Source organism: Homo sapiens, chromosome 1 (assembly GCF_000001405.40).
Source record: "Homo sapiens chromosome 1, GRCh38.p14 Primary Assembly".
Lineage (NCBI taxonomy): Eukaryota > Metazoa > Chordata > Mammalia > Primates > Hominidae > Homo > Homo sapiens.
The window spans coordinates 183,389,871-183,409,317 of record NC_000001.11 but is presented as its reverse complement, the minus strand read 5'-3'; the positions used below and the strand labels follow the sequence as shown (position 1 = coordinate 183,409,317).

Below are 19,447 nucleotides of genomic sequence, written 5' to 3'. Positions count from 1 at the left end.
AATATATCATTCTCCATGACTATTGAAATTATTTACCATTTAAAAAACTCAATAAAGTGACACTATGGTAAGGGGTTGGGTTTTCTGATGCTTTATTTAAAATTTAATTTAATTTTTTTTTAATTTTTAGAGACATGGTCTCACTTTGTTGCCCTGTCTGGCCTCAAATTCCTAGGCTAAAGTGATCCTCCTGTCTCAGCCTCCCAAAGTGCTAGGATTACAAGTGTGAGCCACCGTGCCCACCAATGCTTTATTCTTCAACATTTTTCCAACCCTTCATCTTAGTACCCACAGAGAGGTGAAACACTTCCTCCATGGAGCACTGAGATGAAACTACATCCATGACTATTCATATTCCTTTTCAAATATTTATGTGTGGATAAATATTTAGCAGTGCATAGCTCATCACATCAACTACAAGATCTTTAAAAGAAGACTTTTTTTAAAAAAAGAGACATGTCATTCGTTTTAAATTAAAATTAAGACAATAAATATTGTACATATAAATTCAAGCCATAATTGCTTCATTTTCCATGAACCAATCTTGCTAAGCACCATTTAAAAATTATTTACTTGTTATACCCCAGGGAATCAAAATTTATAGATATTATATCAGGTTCTCTTGCTGTTAACAGTGTTGACAAAGAATGGGTAAAGGCCCCAGTTTTTCCTATCACTCCATTTTTTCTGTTTATATGGAAACTAATAAACTGAATGGCTATTGATCTGGGAGTATACTTAGTCTGCTGGAGCCTTATCTTTCTCATTTGTAAAATAAGGTGATTGACATAACTCAGAGGTCGGCAAACTATGGCCTGCAGGCCATATGTGGACAGCTACCCGATTTTTTAAGGCCTGCAAGCTAAGGATGGCTTTTTACATTTTTAAATGGTTGAAAAAAAATGTAAAATAACAATAATATTTTGTGATACATATAAATTTTATAAAATAAAATTTTACTATTCATAAAGTTTTATTGGCACATAGCCACTCTCATTCATGTATGTATTATCTCTGGATGTTTTTGCACTGAAACAACAGAGGTGAGTGGTTGTGACAGAAACTTTATGGACTGCAAAACCAAAATTATTTACTATCTGAACATTTACAGAAAGCTTGCCAACCCCTGGAATAACCTACCTCTGGGTGTTGGAATGGAAGTATCTAAAGTGTTCTTAAAATAGGAAGTGCTGTTGAAGTCCATTACCCAGAGAAACTGTTTAACGAACAATTTTCAGTCTAAACTAAATCTCTAAAAAGACTCATTTAAGCAGCAAATGTAGTTTCAATTTCATAATTGTAATTTTTCTGGCTGACTGGGTAAATGGCCATGTTCATGGTGGGGATGATTTTCTGGTGTTTGGTTTACAGTGGACATTGATTCACAACTCTGGCTAATGTTGGACATTTATCTGCTGTTGAACATTAGGTATACTTTCTCAGAACACATTTATCCTTTTCTTGTTTCATAGCTACCTCCTTCTTTAAATGTAATATCTTATATACCTTATATTTGATGATTAGAAAATTAGCACACCAATTGCATCAGGCGTGCTCTTGCAGTCATATCTAGTTTTTCTGCAGCATCTCACTTCCCTCTGAACGTTGATAGCACTTGGTTTGTACCTCTCTTATAGTACTTAGCACATTGTGCTATGGGTTGTAGTTATTTCTGTCCATGCCTCATATTATCTATCAGATATAAGTTCTAGCCAAGGTCATATGGTTTTTTGTATCTCCTAAGGTGCCCAGCACAGTGTTCTAGGAACATGAAGATACTTAAAATATTTAGCAAATGAATGAATGATTAAACTGTTAGGAATATTCAGAATCTCAACATCTAGGCAAAATAGATGCTCAGAAAAAAAAAGACAAGCATTTAGGAACCAGAAAATACAGGAAAACAGAGATTCAAGCAAGACAGAACCAAAAAAAACAGGACAGACAGCAAACACGAGGTGCCAGTGACTTAGGGACTTCAAAATCAAGATAATTCTTGCCTCAATATAGAAAAGCTCATGCTTCTTCCCAGATATCCACAGTGGGAACCTGCAAGTCATGTTTGGGAGCTATGAAGTGTGTAACTTGGCAGGAGTGAAAAATATGGAGTCAAGTATCCACTGGACACTTCAGGCGGGTGCATGGGACATGTAGGAATTATTTTTCAGTGAGGCAAAAGTGGGTTTAAGAATGGCAGATCAGGCCAGGTGCAGTGGCTCACGCCTATGATCCCAGCACTTTGGGAGGCTGAGGCGGGCAGATCACGAGGTCAGGAGTTCGAGATCAACCTGACCAACATGGTGAAACCCCATCTCTACTAAAAATACAAAAATTAGCCAGGTGTGGTGGCATGTGCTTGTAATCCCAGCTACTCAGGAGGCTGAGGCAGGAAAATTGCTTGAACCCAGGAAGTGGAGGTTGCAGTGAGCTGAGATCTCGCCACTGCACTCCAGCCTGGGTAACAGAGTGAGACTCTGTCTCAAAAAAAAAAAAAAAAAAAAAAAAGGAATGGCAGAGCAGTTGAGTTTCTTTTTTATTTAGTTGCAGTTTGAAAAAGGTTTTAGGTACATGACACCTAGTGAAGTGAAGCTTTGTAAAGTACTTACTCTACTTTGAGCGAACAAAACCAAAAACCGTTGGTTTATTGATTGTTAAGTTTGCATCTTCAGAAATCACAGAATCTCCATTTGAAGCAGATTTCAAAATTGTGCAGATAGTCTTCCAGTTCTGAAATCCCTTTTAAAACATCTTTACAAGTTTCTGTCCAATCTCTGCTTGAGATCTTTCAGGTCCAGAGAATGCACTATTTTCCAAAGCAGCCAAATAGCATTTGGCACAATTGCACTTTTTTTAAGATTGTCCTTTCTATCGAGCTGACAGTGGGCTTCCTGAGACTCCCATGTGTTGGACCTAGTTCTTTTCCTCGAGATCCATGCAGCAAGTTTAATTTGTCTTCCACTGTGAGACATTCAAATAGGTGGAGACAGCTACTCTGTCCCAGCACCCTTCTCTTTCGGCTTCACAAGCTCTAGTTCTTTTTATCTGGATGTCATTACATTCCCAGTCTTCATAGCATCCTGCCTTATCCCCTTTAAACATACCTTCATTGTCTACATCCCTCTATTCAATTCAATTCATGATACTGCATTCTGATGTGGCCTGATTGTGCTGTCTTATCTATCATTGAACTTAGCATAGCAAGTAATCCCTTTATTTGTGGCACTGTCTCTCTCTTTTTCTAAATGAATCAAGTTAGGTAAGCTATAGCTACTTGCATGTTAAAATGTCCTGACATTCTGAAAAATTTGTCATTTGGTGGACTAACTGCTAAACTATTCCAATTTATTAAAAAATCTAACTGGTGTATTGTCAAGACGTGGTACCTTCCAGAACTTTGCAGGTCAGTGCACATACTTAGTTGTGTGAGATGTCAACCACACACTGGGAATAACATCCTGCCTTTGGAATAGCAAAGACACTTTGCACGTTCCCAGGCAGGGCTGAGACTAAGCGTTTCTGAATTCTGAAATTATCAAGTTTGTTTTCTGATATTTCACTGAAAGGGCTGTTATTTTTAAAACAAGTTCTCTTGAAGTGAGACTTCGTCTCTACAAAAGACAAACAAAAAAAACAATAAAAATAAAAAGAGCTCTGTTGAAAGCTCCAGTCAACTCTTGTCCATGTCTTAAAGTCTTAGTTTTGTCTAGCTCCTCCCTCATGGCCATGTGGTGGACGCTTCCCTATTCCCAGGGCTCCCATGTAAGTGGCTAAATGACCTTGTTCCCTGCAATGATGACTTTGTCCCAACAGAGGTGGATACTGTCATATTTACATTGGGTGAAGTGGAATCTTTTAAAAACCAAGTAATAAAAAAGCCATTTTTCTTATGAAAAATTCTAAACATATGCAAAAGTAAACAGAACAATACAACAATGAACTTGATGCACCTATCACCCAGCTTCAATAATTATCAATTCCTTGCTCATTTTGATGTGCTGATACCCCTACCCACTTCCCAATCCTTGCCCTATATTATTTTGAAGCAAATCCTAGAATCCTATTGTTTCGAAGGTGAGATCCTTTCTTTCATTTTTTTTAAAGACAGAGTCTTGCTCTGTCACCCAAGCTGGAGTTCAGTGGTGCCACCACAGCTCACTGCAGCCTTGACCTCCTGGGCTCACGTGATCCTTTCACCTCAGCCTTCCAACTAGCTGGGACTACAGGCACATTCAACCGCGCCTGGCTAATTTTTGCTTTTTTATAGAGATGGGATTTCACCATGTTGCCCAGGCTGGTCTCGAACTCCTGGACTCAAATGATCATCCCACCTCGTCCTCCCGAAGTGCTGGGATTACAGGCTTAAGCCACCTCGCCCGGCCTGAGATCCTTTTAGTTGGTGCATAATTGCTTCTTTGTCTATCTGACCTGCCTTTACAGACAGGATGTTTTTCTTCCCCATTTTGCATTTGTTTGCTTGACCATTTGGGTTGCAGACAGGGTTGGTATGGGAAGATGTCTAATTCCTTTCTTTGAGCAGATATAATAATGCTTCCACCCTAGACCAACAGCGGGGGTGGCAATTCAGCATTGGCATTGCCTTTAAAGCATTGCTTGTAAAGCACTGTCTTTCACATCTTTCTCACATCATGAGGGGCCTCCAAGGCTTCCCTCCAGAGTAGAGCTCCTATTGGACACAATGGGCCATTCTTCCTCTGAAATGGAGCATTCAGTTCTCTTTCCCTTCAAAGCCACGAATGTCTGTGTTAGAAGATGTTCCTATATCAGTGATTTTCCACTTGGAGTCCCTCAACAACCAGCATTTCTCATCAGTCAGAAAAAGGGTCTGGGAAATGCTTCCAGTATTTCTAAGCATATGCATTCCCCCTTAATATGGCACAGGCTAGCTAAGTGTAATATTACATTTCTGAGGCTGGGTGCAGTGGCTCACGCCTGTAATCCCAGCACTTTGGGAGGCCAACGCAGGTGGATCACCTGAGGTCAGGAGTTCAAGGCCAGCCTGGCCAACATGGTGAAACCCCGTCTCTACTAAAATACAAAAATTAGCCGAGTGTGCACCTGTGGTCTCAGCTACTCAGGAGGCTGAGGCAGGAAAATCGCTTGAACCTGGGAGGCAGAGGTTGCAGTGAGCTGAGATTGTGCCACCACACTCCAGCCTGAGCAACGATGTGAACTCCATCTCAAAAAAAAAAAAAAAAAATTACATTTCTGGGCTTTTGCCTGAATTATTATCAGTTTGGTGAGATAAACTCCTGCTGATCAGCAGTCCTAATGGGTAGCTGCAGATATCTTTGATGAACAAAAATAGGGACCCTTTTTCTTCCATTTCTTCACAAAAGGAGAAAAATAATTAAACAAATCCTGTTTGGTGACAAGGTTGTCCCCTGTAATAGCATTTGAATTCTTGGCTTCTGTCTGGCCTGACTTTAACCCATGTAAAGAATTGAAATAAAATCCTTCTTACTGATTCCCTAATCCTTCTCTTATGCTGCATTAAATCAACTTTTCAATGTGTATTGTCATGCAATTTTGTTATCATTTGCATTTAAATGTAGTGAATAAAGAACTCCCTGCTGAACCCCTTGTGGAATGTTTAAGTCCAACATCCCAGTTTGCCCAGTAAATCATATGGCTATGAATATTCATTAAAAAGGCCTGAACAACTTCTCCATGTGGAATTTGCCCTTCGCACTGCACTTGCTTTGTTAAGATTGGTTCTTTGTGGTTTCATATGTGGTCGTACTAAGCTCTCAAAGTGGATGGAAGGAATGGTGGGGAGGTGGGTAAGGACAGTCTCCCGAGTGGGGGCTCCCCATGGCTACTGAGATGTTTTAGTGCCATTTTTTTTGGGGGGGGGGGTTGTTCCTCTTCACTTGTCCCTTCCCCCAACTCAATAGAACCCACAGTAATTTACACACACACATTTCTTTTACATGCAAATTGACTTATTTCAGGCTATTGCGATTAAACATTTTTTGTTTGTTTAAAGAAATTGAGAAACGACATGTTTCTGCAGCCTTGAAAAGTTTGGGAGGGAGAAAAGAGGAATAAGATATGATGTTGTTTGGCCGGGTGCAGTGGCTCATGCCTGTAATCCTAGCACTTTGGGAGGCCAAGGCAGGTGGATCACCTGAGGTCAGGAGTACGAGACCAGCCTAGCCAACATGGTGAAACCCCGTCTCTACTAAAAATACAAAAATTAGCTGGACGTGATGGCAGGCATCTGTAATCCCAGCTATTCAGGAGGCTGAGGCAGGACAATTGCTTGAACCTGGGAGGCGGAGTTTGCAGTGAGCCGAGATCACGTCCTTGCACCCACCTCAGAAAAAAAAAAAAAAAGATATGATGTTGTTTATGCATGACATGATGTCTTATTGCACGACAGCAGCTTTGGGGGTAAAGTCCAATCTGTAGAGATTAAAGGAATGGGAAAGAGGAAAGAAAACCCAACTTGTCAATTAGGTGATGCTCAGCTTCTTTTCCCCTCCCTTTTTGAATTATCCCCAGAGGGAACCTGTCCAAAGACCTTCGTGGGAAATTACAGATACTTGTCCTGCCTTGAGGGAGTGGAGGGGGGAGCAGCAGTGGCCTGACATCCTGAAAATTTTTTTTGGCCTGTGTTGTGAGTAACTCTGAGCATCCCCTGCAATAAATAATCACTATAAACTAATATGTGAACTAATATTTATTGAGCATGTCAACAAAAAATAATCAAATGGGTCAGAATCTAGTTTAAAGAGAGTTTATTCAAGAGCAGCGTTTGAGGAGAACCACCTGGGAAGCACAGATTTCAAAAAATGGAAGTCAGTATTCTGAAGTGTAGAAGTTTGAAACCATTTATACAGACAAATTTTAGGGAAGCCTAACAAAATTTCAACATCTTTCTATGTAAGTCTTAATGCATAGTTACAACAATCCGATTAGTCAAGATGGTCTTATTATTTTAGGAAAGATAATATTTAACTTTCCACACTGAAGATGTAACAGTCATAGGGTCTTTGGCACCATCTGAGTCTGAGTTAGGTTCAGGACAAGAAAGGAGGCAGTTAATCTATAACAAAGATCAGTGATTTGAAGGAAAGGAGGTCTGGTCTCTGGTCTCTCCTAGTCATTTAAGAACAAGAACAATGAAGAAGAGAGTCAGCCTATAATCTAAGAAACAGAAGTTGCAAACATGCTATGTGACCCAGTCTCTAGGGCTTGACTACCCTCTTAGCATATTTTTTTTTTATTATACTTTAAGTTCTAGGGTACATGTGCACAACGTGCAGGTTTGTTACATATGTATACATGTGCCATGTTGGTGTGCTGCACCCATTAACTCGTCATTTACATTAGGTATATCTCCTAATGCTATCCCTCCCCCCTCCCCCAACCCCATGACAGGCCCCCATGTCATGTGTGATGTTCCCCATCCTGTGTCCAAGTGTTCTCATTGTTCAGTTCCCACCTACAAGTGAGAACAGGTGGTGTTTGGTTTCCTGTCCTTGCAATAGTTTGCTCAGAATGATAGTTTCCAGCTTCTTCCATGTCCCTACAAAGGACATGAACTCATCCTTTTTTATGGCTGCATAGTATTCCATGGTGTACATGTGCCACATTTTCTTAATCCAGTCTATCATTGATGGACGTTTGGGTTGGTTCCAAGTCTTTGCTATTGTGAATAGTGCCACAATAAACATACTTGTGCATGTGTCTTTATAGCAGCATAATTTATATTCCTTTGGGTATACACCCAGTAATGGGATGGCTGGGTCAAATGGTATTTCTAGTTCTAGATCCTTCAGGAATCGCCACACTGTCTTCCACAATGGTTGAACTAGTTTACAGTCCCACCAACAGTGTAAAAGTTTTCCTATTTCTCCACATCCTCTCCAGCACCTGTTGTTTCCTGACTTTTTAATGATCACCATTCTAACTGGTGTGAGATGGTATCTCATTGTGGTTTTGATTTGCATTTCTCTGATGGCCAGTGATGATGAGCATTTTTTCATGTGTCTGTTGGCTGCATAAATGTCTTCTTTTGAGAAGTGTCTGTTCATATCCTTTGCCCACTTTTTGACGGGGTTGTTTGATTTTTTCTTGTAAATTTGTTTAAGTTCTTTGTAGATTCTGGATATTAGCCCTTTGTCAGATGGGTGGATTGTAAAAATTTTCTCTCATTCTGTAGGTTGCCTGTTAACTCTGATGGCAGTTTCTTTTGCTGTGCAGAAGCTCTTGAGTTTAATTAGATCCCATTTGTCAATTTTGGCTTTTGTTGCCATTGCTTTTCATGTTTTAGTCATTAAGTCCTTGCCCATGCCTATGTCCTGAATGGTATTGCCTAGGTTTTCTTCTAGGGTTTTTGTGGTTTTAGGTCTAACGTTTAAGTCTTTAGTCCATCTTGAATTAATTTTTGTATAAGGTGTAAGGAAGGGATCCAGTTTCAGCTTTCTACATATGGCTAGCCAGTTTTCCCAGCACCATTTATTAAATAGGGAATCCTTTCCCCATTTCTTGTTTTTGTCAGGTTTGTCAAAGATCAGATGATTGTAGATATGTGGTATTATTTCTGAGGGCTCTGTTCTGTTCCATTGGTCTATATCTCTGTTTTGGTAGCAGTACCATGTTGTTTCGGTTACTGTAGCCTTGTAGTACAGTGTGAAGTCAGGTAGCATGATGCCTCCAGCTCTGTTCTTTTGGCTTAGGATTGTCTTGGCAATGCGGGCTCTTTTTTGCTTCCATATGAGCTTTAAAGTAGTTTTTTCCAATTCTGTGAAGAAAGTCATTGGTAGCTTGATGGGGATGGCATTGAATCTATAAATTACCTTGGGCAGTATGGCCATTTTCACGATATTGATTCTTCCTATCCATAAGCATGGAATGTTCTTCCATTTGTTTGTGTCCTCTTTTATTTCGTTGAGCAGTGGTTTGTAGTTCTCCATGAAGAGGTCCTTCACGTCCCTTGTAAGTTGGATTCCTAGGTATTTTATTCTCTTTGAAGCAATTGTGAATGGGAGTTCACTCATGATTTGGCTCTTTGTTTGTCTATTATTGGTGTATATGAATGCTTGTGATTTTTGCACATGGATTTTGTATCCTGAGACTTTGCTGAAGTTGCTTATCAGCTTAAGGAGATTTTGGGCTGAGACGATGGGGTTTTCTAAATATACAATCATGTCATCTGCAAACAGGGACAATTTGACTTCCTCTTTTCCTAATTGAATACCTTTTATTTCTTTCTCCTCCCTGATTGCCCTGGCCAGAACTTCCAACACTATGTTGAATAGGAGTGGTGAGAGTGGGCATCCCTTTCTTGTGCCAGTTTTCAAAGGGAATGCTTCCAGTTTTTGTCCATTCAGTATGATATTGGCTGTAGGTTTGTCATAAATAGCTCTTATTATTTTGAGATATGCCCCGTCAATACCTAGTTTATTGAGAGTTTTTAGCATGAAGGGCTGTTGAATTTTGTCAAAGGCCTTTTCTGTATCTATTGAGATAATCATGTTGTTTTTGTCTTTGGTTCTGTTTATATGATGAATTACATTTATTGATTTGCGTATGTTGAGCCAGCCTTGCATCCCAGGGATGAAGCCAACTTGATCATGGTGGATAAGCTTTTTGATGTGCTGCTGGATTTGGTTTGTCAGTATTTTATTGAGGATTTTTGCATCGATGTTCATCAGGGATATTGGTCTAAAATTCTCTTTTTTTTATTGTGTCTCTGCCAGGCTTTGGTATCAGGATGATGCTGGTCTCATAAAATGAGTTAGGGAGGATTCCCTCTTTTTCTATTGATTGGAAAAGTTTCAGAAGGAATGGTACCAGCTCCTCTTTGTATCTCTGGTAGAATTCAGATGTGAATCCTTCTGATCCTGGACTTTTTTGGTTGGTAGGCTATTAATTATTGCCTCAGTTACAGAGCCTGTTATTGGTCTATTCAAGGATTCAACTTCTTCCTGGTTTAGTCTTGGGAGGGTGTATATGTCTAGGAATTTATCCATTTCTTCTAGATTTTCTAGTTTATTTGTGTAGAGGTGTTTATAATATTCTCCGACGGTAGTCTGTATTTCCGTGGGATTGGTGGTGATATCCCCTTTATCATTTTTTATTGCGTCTGTTTGATTCTTCTCTCTTTTCTTCTTTATTAGTCTTGCTAGTGGTCTATCAATTTTGTTGATCTTTTCAAAAAACCAGCTCCTGGATTCATTGATTTTTTGAAGGTTTTTTTGTGTCTCTATCTCCTTCAGTTCTGCTCTGATCTTAGTTATTTCTTGCCTTCTGCTAGCTTTTGAGTGTGTTTGCTCTTGCTTCTCTAGTTGTTTTAATTGTGATGTTAGGTTGTCAATTTTAGATCTTTCCTGCTTTCTGTTGTGGGCATTTAGTGCTATAAATTTCCCTCTACACACTGCTTTGAATGTGTCCCAGAGATTCTGGTATGTTGTGTCTTTGTTCTCACTGGTTTCAAAGAACATCTTTATTTCTGCCTTCATTTTATTATGTACCCAGTAGTCATTCAGGAACAGGTTGTTCAGTTTCCATGTAGTTGAGCAGTTTTGAGTGAGTTTCTTAATCCTGAGTTCTAGTTTGATTGCACTGTGGTCTGAGAGACAGTTTGTTCTAATTTCTGTTCTTTTACTTTTGCTGAGGAGTGCTTTACTTCCAACTATGTGGTCAATTTTGGAATACGTGTGATGTGGTGCTAAGAAGAATGTATATTCTGTTGATTTGGGGTGGAGAGTTCTGTAGATGTCTATTAGGTCCCCTTGGTGCAGAGCTGAGTTCAATTCCTGGATATTCTTGTGAACTTCCTGTCTCGTTGATCTGTCTAATGTTGACAGTGGGGTGTTAAAGTCTCCCATTATTATTGTGTGGGAGTCTAAGTCTTTTTATAGGTCTCTAAGGACTTGCTTTATGAATCTGGGTGCTCCTGTATTGGGTGCATATATATTTAGGATAGTTAGCTTTTCTTGTTGAATTGATCCCTTTACCATTATGTACTGGCCTTCTTTGTCTCTTTTGATCTTTGTTGGTTTAAAGTTTGTTTTATCAGAGACTAGGATTGCAACCCCTGCTTTTTTTTGTTTTCCATTTGCTTGGTAGATCTTCCTCCGTCCCTGTATTTTGAGCCTATGTGTGTCTCTGCACTTGAGATGGGTCTCCTGAATATGGCACACTGATAGGTCTTGACTCTTTATCCAATTTGCCAGTCTGTGTCTTTTAATTGGAGCATTTAGCTCATTTACATTTAAGGTTAATGTTGTTATGTGTGAATTTGATCCTGTCATTATGATGTTAGCTGGTTATTTTGCTTGTTAGTTGATGCAGTTTCTTCCTAGCATCTATGGTCTTTACCATTTGGCATATTTTTGCAGTGGCTGGTATCAGTTGTTCCTTTCCATGTTTAGTGCTTCCTTCAGGAGCTCTTTTAGGGCAGGCCTGGTGGTGACAAAATCTCTCAGCATTTGCTTGTCTGTAAAGGATTTTATTTCTCTTTCACTTATGAAGCTTAGTTTGGCTGGACATGAAATTCTGCGTTGAAAATTCTTTTCTTTAAAAATGTTGAATATTGGCCCCCACTCTCTTCTGGCTTGTAGAGTTTCTGCCGAGAGATCCACTGTTAGTCTGATAGGCTTCCCTTTGTGGGTAACCCAACCTTTCTCTCTGGCTGCTCTTAACATTTTTTCCTTCATTTCAACTTTGTTGAATTTGACAATTATGTGTCTTGGGGTTGTTTTCTCGAGGAGTCTTTGTGGCGTTCTTTGTATTTCCTGAATTTGAATGTTGGCCTACCTTGCTGGGTTGGGGAAGTTCTCCTGGATAATATCCTGCAGAGTGTTTTCCAACTTGGTTCCATTCTCCCCATCACTTTTAGGCACACCAGTCAGACATAGATTTGGTCTTTTCACATAGTCCTATATTGCTTGGAGGCTTTGTTCATTTCTTTTTACTCTTTTTTCTCTAAAGTTCTTTTCTCGCTTCATTTCGTTCATTTAATCTTCAATCACTGATACCCGTTAGGTAACTTGTGTCAAGCTGATACCAGTGGGATAGGAGAGGTCCCCAAACACCAGCAGAACCTCGACCCTGGCTGGTGTCCAGGATCTTGACACTGTCATGAGAAGGAATTCAAGGACGGGTTGGAAAACAGTGAAAGTATGGAGATTTATTGCAAAGTAAAAAGTACACACTCAAGAAAGGGGAGTGCAGACATATTTTCCATTCTCCTGCCACCACCCTTGTCTCAAAGCCCCACAGCAAGTGTTCGGTGGGCAGAAATGTAGACCTATGTGCTTTGACTCTGGAGGTCACAGTTTTGACTACTTCAGGATGCTGCCTTACTCATTTGTTGAGTGTGAAGGTGTTAGCAGTGGAATGCATCCGAGTCACATGGCACCAAACTATGTTAGTGGCAGCAAATCCATATGGGTCTGCAGCAACCTCAATTCTTGCCTCCTCAGAAGAAAGAACTCGACTGAGGGGCATAAGGCAGAGTAACAGACTGAGACAAGTTTTAGAGCAGGAGAAAGTTTGTTTAAAATCTTTAGAGCAGGAGTGAAAGGAAGTAAAGTACACTTGGAAGAGGGCCAAGGGGGTGACTTGAGAGATCAAATGTGCAGTTTGACCTTTTGACTTGGGGTTTTATATGTTGGCATGCTCCCAGGGTCTTGCATTCCTTCTCCTTGATTTTGGGGCAGGCTGTCCGTATGTGCAGTGGCCTGACTAGCATTTGGGAGGGGAGCATGTGCAGTGTGCTTACTGGAGTTATATACACGCTAACTTGAGGCGTTCTTCCCTTACCAGTCAAATGTCCCAAGGAGGTCATATACCAGTTAAACTCCACCATTTTGCCTCTTAGTGCACATGCTTGAGCCCACTCGCCCAACTCCTGAGGTCTTATTGGGAAGCTGCTGATCACCACCTTCAGGTGTTTTCTGTCTACTGGGAGACTGCCTTTCCCTGGTGCTGGCTGCAACCAATTATTATTTTAGAGAGACAGTTAACAACCGCCTGACCATCACCTGATTGTTGCCTGACATTCCTGGTAGGGCAGGGGAGACCTCTCCTGCCCTGCTCATGCCTAACTACCTACTATAATAAAGGAACCCTCAGCATTGTGTTAGGGGCTGTGACAATTCAGAGACAGAAGATAGCCTCCTCTGGCACTTATGTCTACCAAGTAAACTAGTGCCAGGGTTTGTTTGCAGAAAGGCTGGCACTGCTCTGGGAATCTTGCTCAAGGCATCCAAGTGTGGTAGGGCCAGAGGACTCTGCAGGCCACCAAAGAGACCCATGGACAAAGCCAGAGGACAGTGAGAGGAGCAAAAGGAAGGGGTCAACAGCAAACTAGGAGTCACTGCTGGGAAATAGGAGAAGTCTGGGACCAAATCTAGAAGGGTCCTGGGTGATGAGGATGAACATTGCGAAGAAGCCACACTCACCTTTATGCTAAAGGTACAGGATCAGAATAGACAGATACAAATATGAAATTCCCCCCTTCTTTTACATTGCAGTTGGCAGAAATGCCTACAGATTATTATTCAATAACCTCCCCTCTCCCAATACACTGTAAAAAGTGTAACACCTCCTTTATTGGACTGTTGTAAGAATTAAATGAAATAATGTGACCATATGGTAAGGCACCTCCTTGGACCTCTTGATTCTCACCTTGGGTCCCAGTGCTTCATTTCACCCCCTGCAAAATCATGGCTCCAGTCCCTACTTACTGACAAGTGATGTAAATTTCAGTAAACATTTTACAAAGAGATGGCAGATGTTATAGTGTACATCACCCACCATTTCCAAATATCCCACTCAACTCTAGGGAGAGGAAATTTTGTTCTTCTCTTATTGGAAGCAGGTTTATCTCTCTTCCTCCTGAAACTCCTCTTGGCCATGTCCTTCCTACAAAATGCCCTGGCTTCCCCTGCCCCCGACTTATCTTCCTTGACCCACCTCTATCACATTTTCTACCACTCTAAATCCCTTGATGTGGCTGCACATCAAGTGATTTAGAGTGGTAGAAAAGGTGATAGAGGCTGGCCTGCCCTGCTCAACAAGCAAAATCCACCACTGCTAGTTAAACTCTGGTCAGATGTAGTTCTGCAAGCATGCCCCTGCATATATATGTAAGGTTATAGCCTATCCTTTCACATATGGAGTTTTTAGCACATTGTCTAGTCCAGAGTAAGTGATGGATAAATGGGAGCAATATTATCAGTTGTTGCCAGTGTCTGTCTCATGATATCTTTCCTGGGCCAGTATGCAGTCACCCCTGAATACCTGGTTGCCCATGGTAGTGAAGGGCTGGGAGAATGGCTGAACGGCAAAGAAGGGTGGGTAACTGCCATCCGGGGATATTGTGGGCTGGCTGGATCTCTGAGAGGCCTGCAGACATGTGGACATTGTCAATGAGCATCCAGAAATCACTAGAGGAGCTGCCTCCTGCCAAGGACAGTTTGCTCCTCTCTTTTTTGTAACCACTGGTGGCTTCACTGTCAGTGAGAATGGAGTGACTTGCGAAGACATCTGCCTGTTCCTGCTGGGCAGAGGACCTCATTGAGATGTGAGCCCCTGGTGGGTTCTGCAGTGGAAGGCTAGAGGAGGCTATGCCCCTAATCTCGCTGTAGAAGAGGCAACTTTAGCCACTGCTGGAAGGATCTGGGGCTGACAGTCAGGTGGCTCTCATCCTGTATGAGTGCTGGCAAAAGAACCATGGTTTTCAGCCAGATTTTTGCTCCTGTCCTACCCCATTGTCTTTTCTCACCCTCACAAAGCCTTTCACTGAAAATAATGGAGACTTAGAGTAGAGAGAGGCTCTACAGAATAGAAAATAATCAAATTTGCAGTTGGAAAAGAAGTCATTAATTTGCTTATTGGATACTTTCGATGACAAGGTGCTCATTTCCAGACTGTTTCACTGTTGGGCAGCTTCATTTATTAGAAAGCTCTTCTGTCATGAATAAAATCTGTGCTCTTACAACTTAGTGTTTGTCTTAGCACTATCTTCTGAAACTCTTGACTAGGCTCTGCTTTGTTTTGCTTTATTATCACCCCCATTTCCTGACACCTAGACAGAATCTTGAACATCTTTGATACCCAAATGCATAATAATACAATTTGTAGCATCACCAGCCAGCAAGTAGAGGCACTGTCCATTCTGTTACCAGTTGAAAATTTGTGGGTAACATGTTAATAAGTTATTAGTGGGCATCTCAAACATAGCTCACTTGCTATGCTTCTCATCAACCTCTATCTCTTTTCCCTTCATAGCACTATCATCCTCTGACTTATTTTAGGTGATTCATTTATTTGTTTATTGTCCATCTCTTCTCTGAGAATATAAAGTCCATGAGAGCATAAGCTGTCCCAGTTTGTGTTGTCCTGAACTGTATCCCATTTAGAGAACAATGTTGAATCTGGGAAGCACTCAGTTAATGTTTTTTTGAATAAATCAAGAGCCAAGGCCCTGAGCAGTGGCTCACGCATGTAATCCCAGCACTTTGGAAGGCCGAGGCGGGAGGATTACCTGAGGTCAGGAGTTCGAGACCAGCCTGGCCAACATGGTGAAACTCCGTCTTTACCAAAAATACAAAAATTAGCCGGGCGTGGTGGTGTGTGCCTATAATCCCAGCTACTCGGGAGGCTGAGGCAGGCGAATCGCTTGAACCCGGGAGGCAGAGGTTGCGGTAAGCCAGGATCATGCCACTGCGCTCCAGCCAGGGTGACAGAGTAAGATTCCGTCTCTAAATAAATAAATAGCCAAATTAGGATAGTGAAGTTTCCAGATTCTGTCAGTATTCACTCAAGCACTCCAGAGAACAGCAAGCTGTTTTTTTTTTTTAAAGCCAACTGTGTAGCAGCCATGGTCCTTGAGTGAGGGGACTTAGGATTTACTCCAAGGTTCATCCCAAGTTTGCACTCATCATCTGGGTGACCTTGAAGCTGGGCGTTTAACCATTCTGAGGCTTAGCATCCTCATCTGTAAAATGGGATTGGCACCATCTGCCCTATTTAACTCACAGGGTTGTCCTGAGGTTGAAATATGACTGTATAAGAGAAAGAATTTTGTAAGCTGGAAAACTATGATATATAAACATGAGTTATGATGATGATGACAACTGAAGTTATATAATCTTGATAAAGTGAAAGTGTATTTAGTCTGAGAAGGAATTTATCTTCCACTCGAGGTGAATTAATTCCTGGAGCAGCTAGGGATCATGTGATCTCCAGAGATGCTCTCTGTGAGTTTGCTCACCGACACCACCACCATTTGAGTGCCTACTATGTTAAGACAGTCACAGAGAACAAAACAGAATCCTTGCCCTTATGTGTTTACAGTCTAGAGGAGGCAGAAAGACAATCAACTAAATAAATAAGGAAATGATGTAGTATGTTAGGGTTACAAGTATCAGGAATTAAAAAAGAAATAAAATGGATAGAGGACTAGTGAGTATGGGGTTGGGGGATTGCAATTGCAAAAGGTGATTGGGGGAATCACATTGAGGTGACTCCTGAGCAAGGACTTGAAGGAGATGAAGGATTTAGCCATATGAAGAATGCTTCTGGGAAAGCATTCCCAGCAAAGGGAATAGCAGTTGCAAAGTCCTGAAGCTGAGCGCTTCCCTCACATGTCCAAGAAGCCAACAAGGCTAGTATGTTTGGAGCGGAGGAAGAGAGAGGGGGTGGTAGATGGGATTAGAGACATAGTGGATGCCCAGGTTGTGTAGGGCCTTATGTAACATTGTGAGGACTTGGGCTTTTACTCCAATGGAGAAAGGGAGCCATTTGAAGGTCTTGAAGAAAAGTGTTACATGATTTGGCTTTCATTATATTTGTTCTAGCTGCACTGATGAGAACCATAGGGGTTGAGAATAGCAACAGGGGAACTAGTTAGGAAGTTACTGCGTGTAATCTATAGGAGAGGTGATGGTGGTTTGAACCAGGGAGGTAGAGGGTAAAAGTGATAGGGTATCAGATATATTTTGTAGGTGGATTTGCTGTTGAATTGGCTTTGGTGAGAGAGAAAAAGGAATTAAGAATGAGCCAAGGCTTTTGGCCTGAACCCTTGGAAGAATGGAGTTTCCATTTATTGGTGTGGGGTATCTGTGGGAAGAGCAGGTTTGGGAGGAAATGTCAGGAGCTCGGTCTTGGACATGTTGCTTCTGAAAGGATGATTAGACATTCAAGTGGAGATGTTGAGTAAGCATAGTTCAGCCTGAGCCAAAAATAAAAATATATAAATAGTAAATAAAGTCAGGAGGCATCAGCATAGAGTTGGTATTTAAAGCCATGGGACTGGCTGAGAATACCAAGGGAGTGAATGCATTGGAGAAGAGGTCAAGGACTGAATCCTGGGGCACTGCCATGTTTGGGGATTGGGGAGATGGGGAAGAGGCAGCAATGCTAACAGTGAAAGAGCAGCCAGGGAGACAGAGGAAAATCAGGAGACAGTGATGCCCTGGAAGTCAAATGCCATCAGTGTTTAGGGGGCACGATCAATCATGTCAGACATTTCTGAGAGGACAAGTAAGGTGAGCACAGAGAAGTGATTGTTGGAGTGAACTGAAGTGGAAGCCCACTTTGAAGGCTTTGACACGAGCAGATTTGCTGGAATGAAGGGGGCAGAAGCTGGACTGGAGTGAGTGTCAGAAAGTAAAAGGAGTGTAATGGAGAGCACCTATTTAAACATTCTTTTGAGGAGTATTTTTCTAAAGAGGAGCAGAGACAGGGTATGGCTGGAAGATACAGGTCAAGAAAAGGTCTTTGTTTTTTGCTTATTTTTTTTTAAGATGAGAGAAATAACAGCATGCTTTTATGCAGATGGGAATCATCCAAAAGATATGGAAGAACGGATGGGGCAAGGCTGAGAAGGGAGAAATCTCGAAAGAATGTCCAAGCACATTAGAGTAGGTTATAGGTATTGGGTCAAGCCAAAATGGAGGAGTTGGCCTTGCCTAGAAGCACCAACAATTCATCTATATGTAGAAGAGTAGAGAATACAGAGTTACAGACAGGTAGGTGGATAGAAGTGGTGGGAACATGGAGAAATTCCCTTCTGAGAGCTTCTGTTTCCTGAGTGAAATAGAGAGAAAGGTCATCCTTGCAGAGTGAGGATGAGGATGGGAGGAAGCAATGGGATTTGAAGAGAGAAGAAGCAGGCAAAAGAAGCAGAGACAGAGCCTAAGTGATGTGGTGTGGAGGCATTTCTCCAAGGCCTTTGGCATTAGTTCCAGTGAGGGAACTCTTCTATGCTCATTGATGCTGCAAAATACCAGGTGGCCCTATCCCTCCTTCAAAACTTCTTGGTCAGGTTTGTGTTAATTTTTAGGCATAAGTTTTGCCTGAAACTTGTGTTAATTTTTAGGCATAAGTTTTGCCTGAAACTCACGTGCATCACCCCAAATGATTTCAGGCTGTGGAGGCTATCAGAACTGTCATGATATTTTCAGAAATTGACTTCATAGAAAGAAAATAATAGGTTTTGCTCTGACCCAAGCTGACCTTCAAAATGTTCCAAATGCATGCAGCATCACATGGTTGAATTTCACCATCACATCATTAGTTAGGGAGTCCGTTCTGGCCTGAAAGAGGAATTACTTGTTTCTTTCATTTTAGACAAATGTGCTATCCTTTACATTTCTCCCCAGCAAAAACTACTTTGGTTTATCTCACCAGGCATCCGAAGCATGAGTTATTTTGTGTTTTTTCAATTTTAAGTGCTCTCTTAAATCACTACCTTGTAAACAGCAGCCAAGAGTCTTCAATTTGGGTTTTAAGTATAATTTGTATAACTACCATCAGAATCAAGCAGCCAACAAGTATATGTGAGACAATTATGATGTACTCTCCTAGAAATCATAATGTGTGGTGATAGCATACCCGGCGTTAAACAAAGTGCTGATGAAGACAAGATGGGATGCTTTCTCAGGCTCAGCTCCGTTATAATAAGGAAACTGAGGACTGAGGGCATGGAGACAAGATTAGGGTGTGAAGGTAACTTTGACTGTTGACATTTCCTCACTGTAAGCACTAAGTGAGCACTTAATTCATTAAGATCTGTGTATCTCATTTTCCAAGGCTGACTGGTACCATGGGCATTTTTGAGTAGCCGTTTTAACATTGATGTTCATGCGGCTCACCCTATTCAGTAATTTCTGATTTGTAAACACACAGAGAAAACAGCAATGTTCCCCACCTTCCCGTACCACTGCTGCCCACAGTAGTGTAGTTAATGCCCTGTGTAGTTAATGCCTTCCAAACCCCTGGCACCACAGAAACAATGTTCTATATCGTGATGAGCTTCTATTGCACTATCCTGTAAAAGCTTTGGTGCATGGGTCCTTTTAGATAGTTAAGAGTTTACTTTAAGGACAAAGAGAGAACTAACGTATTTTCTTTCTTTCCTTCCTTCCTTCCTTCCCTCCCTCCCTCCCTCCCTCCCTCCCTT

The 19,447-nt window shown here is 41.3% G+C and overlaps 1 protein-coding gene across 1 annotated transcript in view, besides 1 other annotated feature; it reads left to right on the top strand.

Moving 5' to 3' along the window:
* The window catches only part of NMNAT2 (nicotinamide nucleotide adenylyltransferase 2), a 170,144-nt gene that overhangs the window by 9,063 nt on the left and 141,634 nt on the right, over window positions 1-19,447 (top strand). The gene's annotated exons all lie outside the window — the stretch shown is intronic.
* Window positions 5,470-5,764: a silencer, noted in NCBI's record as "tiled region #8277; HepG2 Repressive non-DNase unmatched - State 24:Quies". NCBI's record gives its function as "represses a minimal TATA promoter and a strong SV40 promoter by Sharpr-MPRA in HepG2 cells {active_cell/tissue: HepG2}" and the evidence as "EXISTENCE:reporter gene assay evidence [ECO:0000049][PMID:27701403]".